This window comes from Homo sapiens, chromosome 8, assembly GCF_000001405.40.
Source record: "Homo sapiens chromosome 8, GRCh38.p14 Primary Assembly".
Classification (NCBI taxonomy): Eukaryota; Metazoa; Chordata; class Mammalia; order Primates; family Hominidae; genus Homo; species Homo sapiens.
In genome coordinates, this window is record NC_000008.11 from 126,088,442 (window position 1) to 126,100,933 (window position 12,492).

Consider the following 12,492-nt stretch of genomic DNA (forward strand, 5'->3'; position numbering starts at 1 on the left):
CTGGCTTGGATATTTTACAGTCATTTGTCAATTTATGGCATTTACAACTGCCTTGTGGTTCCAGATGAGGGGCACCACATATCACAAAGGCTTGTTCTTCATGATCTATTGAGCACCCAGTAATTCATGCACGTTATTTATACCACTCACTCATTTCTCCTTCTTTCTCATGAAGTCGTCCATGCCATTAACATTAGCTAGCAGACATCAAGCTGCCTAGTGGATAAAATGTTGTTTGACAAGGGCTCAGTGGCTAGGGATGTAACTCATAGTTTTTATCATAAATTTCAACTCAATTATTTGTTTTCCCAGGTAATCTATCAGTGAATAATATACCCACATCACAGGACTTTGGCCTGTGAATTTGGTCTGTTTTCCAGACCAGTATTTTAGCATGGGCATGGGTGACATTTGAGCACTTAAAATAAAATAATGCAGCTACATTCTCTCTGGCATGGTGGAATGAACATGGAATTGGGAATAAGAGAGACCAGGTTTCTAGCCCCAACTCTGTACTTTACAACTGTGTCCACTAAATGACATTGGAAGGCCTATTTGTTAATCCTGTGAAGCTTCATTTTTTAAAAATCTGCATTGGCTCTCCAAAATGTGCCTGGAAGTTGCTGCAATTCTCAGAATGTCTGAGAAGCTCCCCAACAGTCTTAGTCTGCAGCCATGAGGCAAATAATTCTCAGCAATTTTCTAGGAAGCTGCTTTGATACTCACATGTGCATGTTCATCTGGCAGCCACCACCTCCAGAGAATAAAGCTTCCGATTTACTTCCACTTTCCAGACTCCACAGATGTTCCTCTCCTTGGCAAAATGTAGCCCAGATCTAAATGGAAGGTGATTCTGAGACATGTAGTTGGCAACCTTAGCAGGACATGGTGGTGCCACCCGGTTGATAACAGACATCTCAGCCCACTTTCCACTACACAGGAGCCAAATGATCTTCTTTAAATCCCAAAACAGAGTATTTCACAACCAGGCTTCAAATGACTCAGTGGCTTCCCATTTCTCTTAGAATAAAACCCAAATTCATCCGGATGGCCTGAAAAGCTTGTCCAGCCGATCTCTTCAATTTCATCTAATTCTAGCTTTCCCTTTCATCATTATGTACAGCCAAACTGACTTTTATTCCTTTTTTTTAACATGCCAAACATTTTACCACCTCAAAATTCTTATAGTTACTGTTCCTTCTGTTTAGAATATCTTCCACCTTGATTTTTCTTATCCTTTTATCTCAACACTCTAAAGAGTCCTCCCCCAGTTTCTTTTTGTCGCCCCTTTTGTTTTCTTCAGTGGATTTATTGCAATCTGCTCTTTTTGTGTGTTTAGTTATTATCTGTCACACTCACTGGAATATAAGCTCAGTGAAAGCTGGTACTATATTTATCAATTGCCCCCCTAGTTCTCTGTCTTGGCTTAGTTACCAATTTTCCTCTTGGAACATAGATCATCATAGGCTGAATTTGCTGCTTCAAATAATCAGAGGGCATCAGTTTTTTTAGTGCTCAAGATCCTATAGTTATTGTACCAGCCTTAATGAAAGTACAAAGGAGATAAGGGCAAGACGTGCTCTTTGCAATGCTTAAACAGTTTTAGTATATCTCAAGCAAAGAATCCTAATAAATCCAAAATTCGACAGCTTTTTACTGTTGGTGTTCTACAACCTCTCTTTCCTCTCACTACCTGGAATAGTCAGAAATCTCATGTTAATTTATGAACCCTGATGTCATCATCAGGACTGGACTGTGGACTGAAAGAAGATAAATACCAATAATAATTACCAAATGTTGGATAACTATCATATGCCAACAATATGATAAATTATTTATGAACCTCACAATATTGCATGGAAAATAATTATCTCACTTTTCCAAATTATTTTTGTAATTTTTCTAATTTTTAAAATAATTTTCTAATAATTTTTAAAAATTATTTTTATAAAAATTAAGAACTTGACCAAAGTCACAGAGGTTATTTGAGGTTAAACTAGGGTTTAAATCTTGGTCAGTTTGGTTCTAACGCCCAAATTTACTTCCCTGTTTCTGCCGTATTCTAGGTCTCTTTTGATTTTATAATACGTTGTGTTCGTGATAGCATTATTTATCTCACCCTGTATTCACACTCTTTGTCGTTTTACTCTGGGTTAAGCTGTAAGACTGCTGTTTAGACTGGCTTTGGCCAATAGAATGAGGTAGGAGTTCTAGATCTGAGCCTGGTCCTCACATGAGTATGCTCACCCTCTTATTTGTCTGCCTAGACTAGTTCTTTGGTTTAGGAGAGAATGAGAGACACATCAATGCAGAGCCATCCTCAACTAGACCCAGCCATGCTTCTCCAACCCCCCAAAAGGCTATACTCATGTGAGAGCTCATCCAAGTACAGCAGTACAGCCCAGTTGAGCCCAAACAAGATCAATGAAGCCTCAGGAAACCAAACACAGTCAATAAGCCCAACCAAGGTCAGCAGAACAGTCTAGCTGAGCCCAGCCTGGATAAGCCAATTCCTAGCTGACTCATACGCTCAAAAAAATGATAAATGATTGCCATTTTAACCATGGTATGCCGGGGTTGTTTCTTTCACAGTAATAACAAATTGATACAGACACTAATTAGCTCTGCAAATGTGCTTAAAAATAATGCTTACAACCATTTAATAAGACTTTATGTATGAGACACAGTGCAGAACACTTTACATTCATTATCCCTTTAGATCTTATTCAAAACCTCTCTGAGGGTTTCACAGATGAGAAAAATTAGATGAATAGAAATGAAATAACTTAGTCAAGTTTACACAGCTTGTTTAAGTGGCAGAGTTGGAATTTAAACCTAAGTCTATCTGGCTCTGAAGTTGTTCTTTTTTTGTTTTACCAGGTTGACTTTATTCATAATCTAGACTTCACATAGAAAATAATCAGCTGTGTGAATATGACTGAGTTCTCTGGGTCCATTTTCTTCAACTACAAACTAGAGGGAACTAAATATCTTTTTTTCTTCTTACCTTCTTTGGTTCTATGTTCCTACATACAAAAGTTATTTGAGGGCAGTTGGAGTTAAAGCATGTATGCAGTTTGATGATAATGATGATGACGATGACAATGACAACATATATCACAGAGATGAAAGCATGGACATACTTTTTCCAAGAAAGAGAACTAAGACAATTGTTGCAAGTGAGTGTAAAAATTAACTCTGAAAACTTATATGTAAAACAGAGGAATAAATCTGGGCCACAAAATCTTCCTTTCTAATGCAATAAACAACAACAACAACAGCAACAAAAAAGTGTCAGCCAAGAATATCAAATTTATCAAATAAGCAAGAAACTAGATATAACGTGGGGCTTCAAAGAGCGGATTTCAAGATCTCAGCAGAGGCACATGCCTTTGTGCACTCTTCTGCCCTCTCTCCTATCTCTATATGCAACACATATACAAAGGACATCTCTCTCTATATATCTATATCTCATACACATAAACTATCATATATGTGCCATTATATGTATATATATTCACATACATATTCCATATAAAATATGGATTCAATAATTAAGAGTTAAAATATGACTAAATAAGAGAATAATATGAAAAAGGAGATAGATGACAAAATAATACCATTGTAGAACTAATATGTAAATTAGGAACAACAAGAAACAGATGAGACATATCAGGAAATTGAAATTAGTTACAAAAGAAAGCTTCGTGGTATCATAGGAATTGTCAATAAAGGGCTCTTAAAAAATAAAAAGTTCTTAGAGACTTGACAATACATAGTGTGGTTACATCGAACAGAACTGCAGCCACCCAGGCATAAAGGGAAATTTGCTTATAAGGAGGAAAATCAAATTTACCTCAATGTTCTCTGTAGCACCAATTATGCCAGAAGACAATTGAGCCAAGTTTGCATAATTCTAAAAGAAAATTAAACACAGTGTAAAAGTATATCAAATACAAAGTCACAGGGAGATATTCTTGAACAAGAGCCCTTCTTAGCAAAAATAATTGATGAAATCCTGTAAACCAAAAAGGCATTGTGAAGAGAACTAGCAAAGTAGTAAAGAAATATGTGTAAGCAGTTCAGAAATACTTTTGCTGCCAGTGCAATTCCTTTATCTTTTGATAAGTTAGAAAAAGTATTTTAAATAATATGAAATATAGTCCATAACAGAAATATTTTAAGGCATACAGATTATAAGATAGTTATATAATTTTTATTCTCATGGCTATATTAAGATAGATATCTTGAATACTATGTAATGTTAATTATTAATATTTATAGAGGTGGTTTTAGATGATTTTATTAACTTGTTATTTGTTGCTATTTCTTGATTTTTGAAAATATGTACATGTAAATATATAGTTAATTCATCATTATTATATTTAAAGAGCAGAAGAAAAAAATTAGATCTTAATGTGCACATGTACCCTAAAACTTAAAGTATAATAATAAAAAAAAATTAGATCTTAACTTACTATAAGTAAGCTATAAGTAAGAGATGGTAGAGATGGAGAAATAGAAAAAGCAATAAAGAAAACTTTCTGTTAGTGTGGCATGGTAAAAGGAGCGTTCTCCTTCTATGAGCATCTGTTACCTAGTAGATATTAGGAAAATCTGATTTTCCTCCTTATAAGCAACTTTCTCTTTATACCTGGGTGCCTAGCAGGTCTGTTGCAGGTAACCACACTATTGCCAAGTCTCGAAGAATTTCTCTCTTATTATTGATCATCACTATGATATCACAAAGCTTTCTTTTGTAACTAATTTCAACTGGGTCTCTTGCTTTACTCTCTATAACTTAGTTCCATCATCTACATGGGTGGGGATATGTTGTTACCTCAGAGTTGGCTGTAGTAATGAAATGAAACAATGTATGTGATAAGGTCAAAACAATTTTATGAATATGTTCACTTCTCTTCTCTCCTTCCCCTGACAAGCAGGAGTGTTCTGATTTTCCAAGACAAATCTTGGATTAAAGGATAGTTAATGGAGAATACAGTGAAGAGAAAATGGAAAATAGCAGGGAGTACAGACCGCCCTTGGTAGTGGAATTGGTTACATGTGTTTCATTTGTTTAGGAAAAAATGTGTCCAAATTACTGTCTGCAGTTGTAACCTCCCAGTTCCCATTCATGTGGTTCTAGGGTGGGGCTGAAATCTGGACTTGGGAGGTGGCACATATCTGCTTGTCCACGGTGATTCAGAAATAAACAAGTGGCATAAGTCAGATGGAACAGAGAGATTCCAGGGTCTTTGAAGGGCCTGAGGAAGACGATCTTTCTCTTCTGAATCTGAATCTAAGACACTGAAGCCTGGAACCACTCACCTCTGCATCTTGCCAATCAAAGAGAGAAGCCTCCTGAGAGTGGAACCAACACAAAGCCAATATCAGGAGGAAACAATTCAACCCATTGGATCCAGCAGGGCTCAACTTTGTGTTACTGAGCTAATTAATCCCCTTTTATTTGCAAGAGGAAGAGTTGGTTTAGCTATTTGCAATGCAAAGAGTCCTAATTGAACAGATGGGATTGTTTCTCTTTGTCTTTACATTTGTTTGTGTATTTGTTTTTGTTTGCTTGTTTAGTACAGGTATGGAAGTAACTACAGTGTGTGAGACCACAGATGAGATAAAAAGAATATTGAGAAATATTTCTGGACACTATTGGTTTCCAGCGTGGAACCTGCCTGATGAACTTCAAGAAATATAAGCAGATGACTAACATTATTTTAAAATTAGCTTTAGTGGTATGAATTTTACTTTTTTCTCCACTTTTTAGTACTCTAGGACTAAGAGCCATTGTTTGTGATTTTATTGCTAAAACATTGAAAACACCATTTTAAGGGCTTTGCTCATACCATTCTCTTATTTGGGAAAGTCATAACTCTTTCCCTGCCTTCCCTGCTGCACAAGCTCCCTTTGTTCAGACTATGCTCCTACCCAGGCTCCAGTACCACTCAGTTCCAGCATTTCCCCATCCATTAATGCCAACCTTTAGTTCACCAAATGGGCTCCCCTGCATGTCCGTGGCAACCACTTCTTACGTCTCTCAATACATTTGCCACTTGGTGATACAATAGTCTCCCACTAGGCTATAAGCTCTTTGAAGACAGGAATTCACCACATCATATTTCTGTTTTTAGTACTTATCACAGACCTGGCCTATGGTAGGTGCATGGGAAATCTTCTTTTAACCTCCTTTCTCCCCTCAAATTCACTCTCCCTATTTACCTATGCTATCTTGTTTATTGATGGCATCACCTCTTGCCCTGTGGTTCACACTCAGGTTTGGCTAATGGGAAGCAGGAGATAAAAGGGAGAGAAAGTGAGGTTGAGATGTTTTTCTGTTGACTTTTTCTACCAACCCACCGTGGGTTGGTAGAAACTCTCTACTTGAGGCTAATAATGTGATGTATCTATCGCCCACCAGGTTACTTAAGGGGTGTATGTCTGCTGCCTAAACCCTAAAGGCTGGGTGCTGAACCAAGGCCCTGGTGCCCAGTGGAGGAGCAGGTATCCCTGAGAACCCAAACATTTGGAGAGTGTCTAAGAATCTACCAAGAAAACTAGTCTCATTGCTCAAACACAGTAGACAAAGAGCGAGAAAAGTAGCTTAAAAACAGTTTAGAGACAGAAGTAGTGCAGATCTCTAGAGCTGTCCTGCTGTAGTCCAGGAGTACCCTGTATGTAAGTTTTAATAAACTCATCTACTTGTCAAGCTGGACTTGTCTGAGTCATTCTTAGGTCTCTCAGCACCTTCCCAGTTTGGGGGTGGGGGACATTACAGTCCCAAGTCTTTCTTGTAACAATTGGTGTCATGAATAGGATCCAAGGAACCAAACGATGAGTCAGGAAGGAGTGTGTGCATGGGAAATCCGGGGTGGTTTGCAACATGCACCAAGGGTGGAGTTGCCTGACTGCTCAACCTCTGTGGGCCACCACGTGAGTACAAAGATGCTCAGAAAACTTTGGCAGGGACTGAGCACATACTGTAAGAAGCTAAGATATTAAAGTATGGTAAGGACAGCAAATATGCTGTTGTTGCAATAAAACTGGCTCTCAAAAATTGTTACAGCAGGAAAGGGAGAAAGGGTAGAAACTCCTGCGAAAGTTCAAAGGCATGCCAGGTTTTCTAGAACTCCAGCTGGTTATATATTATGGCCTATTCTTGTGCAAATTTAAAAACTGATGGGGCCAGGCAAGGTGGCTCACTCCTGTAATCCCAGCACTTTGGGAGGCCGAGGCAGGCGGATCACTTGAGGTCAGGAGTTGAGAACAGCCTCACCAACATGGTGAAACCCCATCTCTACTAAGAATACAAAAATTAGCTGGGTGTGGTGGCACACGCCTATAGTCCCAGCTACTAGGGGGGAGGCTGAGGCATGAGAAATGCTTGAACTCGGTAGGTGGAGGTTGCAGTGAGCTGAGATTGCGCCACTGCACTCCAGCCTGGTGACAGAGCAAGACTCCATTTCAAAAACAAACAAATAAACAAACAAACAAAAACTGATGGAAAATTATGACAAAGAATTTCAGAGCTCAAATGGTTAATCTGCAGCTACAGCATTAAGGAGAGTCTTTTAAATGTCTCTATTTCTCTTTCCTCTTCTACCTGCTTTGAATCTGCTGTTACTAAGCTACCAATGTTGAGATAAAACTCACTAATTGAAAGATACTTGGAGATTTTGTTTTTCTTATATTGTTCAACCAGTTGTAGCTAAAATGTAAACAGTAAAAGCTCATTTGAAACTGAAAAGGGGGTAAAAGAGGTTTTTTAAAAATAAAACTGTTATAGAAACTGTTTACCCAAAGTTTTGGTCCACAACCTTCCTTGGATTGCCTATTAGGGAAAAGTTTAGCCATGTGAATAGGTCCCAGTTTTGTCAAATATAATTTGGATCCAGCTGTCTGTTGTAAAATAATGAGATTTGATGCTGTCTCATGGATAAAGTTCTGAAGTAAAGCTATTGGATCTTTGTGTGTGCTTATACATGTTTAAATGTGTTTATATACATGTACATGTACATGTAGTGTTATATATTGTGTCCAGCATGCTACCAAATTGGCTCATAAGGAAATGAGTACTTATAAATGAAATAAGTCTGAATGCTTTTTAGGTCCACATGAATTTAATAATTGTTAATAAATAAGCTAGCTTTGAAATTATTGGTAAGATAAAAAGAAAAATGTCTTCAAAAGTGTCAGACACATTTTTGCCTGGGTTTACTCATTAGATAAGTTTTCTATTTGCTTCTGCTAGATATTTTAAGGTGTCAGGGTTTGACATAAAGTTGGTAAGACCCTAAACCCAGCCCTAGCCTGAATGATCTTTGTGTGATTTTTTAATAAGCAAGACTAATTTGATATTGTTGGTTTAATAAAAATAGCTACATTGTCTGAGTTATTGGCAAAACACATGTCCACGTGTTTAGCTTTAAGGTTCTTGCTTAGATGAATATCTAATATTTACAGTCTATAAAAATAATTAATAAAAATACTTCAAATAATAATTTATCTTGATTCTCAAGAGTAATCTAGATAAACTGATAAAAATAAATAAATTAAATTAATGTAAATAAATGTTTATAAATAAACATTTTGCGTGATTTAAAATCTTAAAATTATTTGAGGTACTCATTGAATGTCTGGGTCATTTCCAATTTAGAAAGAGTTATAATATAAAATATTGGTCACACTTCTGGGCTCATCAATAGAAAATAAAATATATGATATGGGGAAAGCATTGATGGACCTCAGTGAGCCTGATAAAATACAGACTGAGTCCAAAAGTAATCAAAAAACAAAAATGGGATGGGCCATATGGGTGCCTGTACACTTGCCCTAGCCCACACCAGCAATAAGCTTGAAGTGATACCACCTTCCAAGGGGAGACTCTGAAATCACCCAAACAATCCAAAAGTTACATAAGGTACAAATAGGCTGCCCCTAAGCCCCTCCAATAGCCCTTTAGGGGCCTGTGAAGAAGCCAGATGGCACTTGGAGAATGATGGTAGATTACTATGAGCTAAACAATATGGGGCCCCCTGAACATGCAGCTGTGCCTAATATTGCTCAACTGTTGGAGTAAGTGGTCCCTAAGCTGGGCAATGTCCATGCTGTGATTGACTTGGCTAATGCCTTTCCTAGTATTCTTTTAGCAGAAGATTCACAAAACCAGTTTGCCTTCACTTAGGAGGGCCAACAGTGGACTCTCCAGATGCTACCACAAGGGTACCCGCACAGCTGCACCATTTGTCACAGTGTGATTGCACAGGACCTGTCTAGACTCTCTTTGCTTCCCTCGATTTCCCTGTTTCACTGTTTTAATGATAACACGTTGACCTCAGAGTCTCTTAGAGATCTGGAGACGGCTCTATAAACCATCTTGGATGGCCTAAAGGACAGAAGCTAGAAAGTCAACCTCAAAAAGAAACAAGAGCCCAGCATAATCATCCAATTTTCAGGAGTTACCTGATTGGATAAGATGTGAAAAATACCAAGAGCTCTCATTAACAAGATAGCACAACAGTCTGTTCCCTAAACAGTAAACTAACTCCAGGTTTTCATAGGTTTACTGGGCTACTGGAGGATATTCATTCCTCATTTGGCACAAATCCTACATTTGTTATGCACGCTAATAAAAAACAATAAAAATGGGACTGAACATGGAGAGCAAGAGGCATTCGACAAAACAAAAATATTGATAAAACAAGCTCAAGCACTAGAGACCCCATTGTCACAGCACCCTTTTATATTAAAAGTCACTAGAGATGTCACAAAGATAAATTGGGGTTTATGGCAAAAGCAACCAACAAAATGATACCTGAAGGGTTTTGGTGTTAATTATGAAAGAGGACAGAATCCTACAATATAGTCCTAGGGCAACAGTTACTGGCCATGTATAGGGCATTGCATCAAGTGGAGGCCACCACAGTAAAAGCTGCTTACCCCATAAAAGGGTGAACAGAAGGCCTCCTAGCTAAGCTCACCTCTGGTGTGGCACGATCACACACCCTGCAGAAATAGCATTCATTTCTAAAACTAAGGGCTGTCCTGTCCACTAGTCCTTTAAGTCAGGAGCTATAGGAGGATCTCAGACCTGTCTACTTTGAACACATGGAGGGAGCCAATATGGCAGTGGACCCATCTGTGAGGCCAACCACCATGTATGAGGGGATCCTGCTGATACCCACTAGAACCTGGTACACTGATGGGCCTAGCAAAGGTATCGAACACTGGACATCAGAACAAAATATAGACTGGAGGTTCACTTACCATATAACACAACAGGGCAGGCCTCATAAAAAAAAAAAAAGAATGGCCTGTTAAACACCCACTTATGTGGGTTTTTAATATGTCCTAGGATAGCTCTTTAAGGTCCTGGACTAAGACTCTCCCTGAAGCCATACACACTTTAAATAAGTCACCCATTATTACACATTGAATCACTCTCTATGAATGGTTGGCAAGGCCTGCAAAACAGGCCCTGCAAACTCTCTGGGTTACCTCTGAGACACTGAACCGTGCCTCTGGAGCAGATGGTCAGACTGTACTCCTGAGAGCACCAATGGATCTGCCAGGTGGTGATGACTGCATGGACCCACAGTTAAGCTGGAAAGTGACTCTACACTGGATCAGTTTTATGGCACCAGAGGGCTCCAAGGAGACTGCTGGAGGGGAGGTGGTCCTAGCTGTGCTCCTGCTAGAGGTCCAAAAGCCTTAAAATATCAAAACATGGCAGCACCAATACCTGCTGGAGTGATCATAATGCAGACAGCTTGGACAAGGCCAAACACTTAGCATTTGGTTATTGTGTCTCTTCCTAGGAAGGAAAGCCACGTCTGGTACTGTAGTGCCAGGCCTGAAGCCTGCTATGGCCTCCCTAATACAGCCCATGGAAAAAAAAAATACAATGATAGCAACGTTACAAAAACTAGATACACTCATGAGAGTCCTTACTAAACACCTGTGTTTATGCCCATAGGCTGTTTTTCCTGCTACCCATGGCAGCTGGTAATGTCTTTCTGGACTGGGCTGCAACTACAGCAGCAGTCAGCAACCAGTGCGATTGTTGACTATATGAATACGTCCCCCTATCAAATCATAATTGTATGCCTTGGAATATTCTGCCTTTCTCCTGACAGAACTGGAGTGACTGGTTCAGCAGCACTGATAGCGCAGTCCAGGCTCAATGGGGATTGCATCCACCTGGAGGCTCAATTGACAACTCAATAGAGACCCAATAACATATGTCCTTGCAGATGCTACCTGTTGGGTCTCTATGCCCGATAAAGGGAATAATGTCACAGATGCTTTAAATCCTTTGTCAACTCAGATCCATGATATAGCCCAGTTAGGTTTTTTGACTCATTCTCAAATTGGTTACACACCTTACCTACTTATTGGAGTTATGTCTCACTAATAGACAGTATAATTGTAGTTAGCTTCTGCTTTTTATGCTGTTATGTACAATGTAGATGTGGCCTGTATACACAAGCCATTGCTATACATTATAGGCCCATATAGTTCTTCACCTCTTATTTTGCTCAGGGATCATTGAAAAAGATTCACAAAAAAAAAAAAAGAGTAAGAGCTGGGGAATGACATGGATTGTAGTGTGATGGGTCCCCCACCAGATTACTTAAGAGTGAATGTCCGCTGCCTGAACCCTGAAGGCTGGGTGGTGAGCTAAGGCCATAGTACCAAGCCAAGGAGTGAGTGTCCCTGAGAACCCAAACATCCTGGAGAGTATTTGAGAACCTACCAAGAAAAATAGTCTTTTGCTCAAACATAGTGGGCAGAGAGCCAGAAAATTAGCTTAAAAACAGTTTAGAGATGGAAGGTGGTGTGGATCTCTAGAGCTGTCCTGCCATCATCCGGGAACGCCCTGTCCGTAAGTCTAAATAGACGCATCTGCTCATGAAGCTGGACTTGTCTGTCATTCCTTGGTCCCTGAGCACTTCTCCAGTTTGGAAGTAAGGGGCATTATAGTCCCAAGTTTTTCTCATAATAGATACCTTTTCAGGGTTCCCTGTGCAGGTCCCTCTCTTTGGCTGTTCACACCTATGAGTGATAAGGGCTCCTATTTCTAGCTCCAGGTTTCTGTACTATCTTTTGTTGCTTTTCATCAACCCTGGCCACAACTTTATTAAACTTTCTATAAATTGCCTCTTTCCTAGTAGGCACCAGTTGTGCACAGGTAGGCAGGTAAGCAATACATGTTTTAAAGAATCAGTTCTTGGATAAATGGTAAAAATAGAGATTGAAGGTATGGGTAATTGCCACAAATAGTATTGGAATGTCCCAGATTTGCCTTCACTGTGTAGTGAGTGGGCCTGGCTGTCTTGAATGAGCACCATGGAAGATGGATGGTGCATTAACTTGGGCTAAGGATAAGGAACATTCATGAGGGTCCTGAAGTCGGTCAGAGGTCAGGTGCCATAGGTTAGATCAAATTTGCTGAGATGATTGTTGGGGAGATGAGTCATTTAA

The 12,492-nt window shown here is 39.1% G+C and overlaps 1 annotated feature.

Moving 5' to 3' along the window:
* Nucleotides 5,124-5,692: an enhancer, noted in NCBI's record as "OCT4-NANOG hESC enhancer chr8:127105809-127106377 (GRCh37/hg19 assembly coordinates)". NCBI's record gives its function as "activates a minimal SCP1, AML or CMV promoter by ChIP-STARR-seq in primed H9 embryonic stem cells {active_cell/tissue: H9 hESC(primed)}" and the evidence as "EXISTENCE:reporter gene assay evidence [ECO:0000049][PMID:30033119]".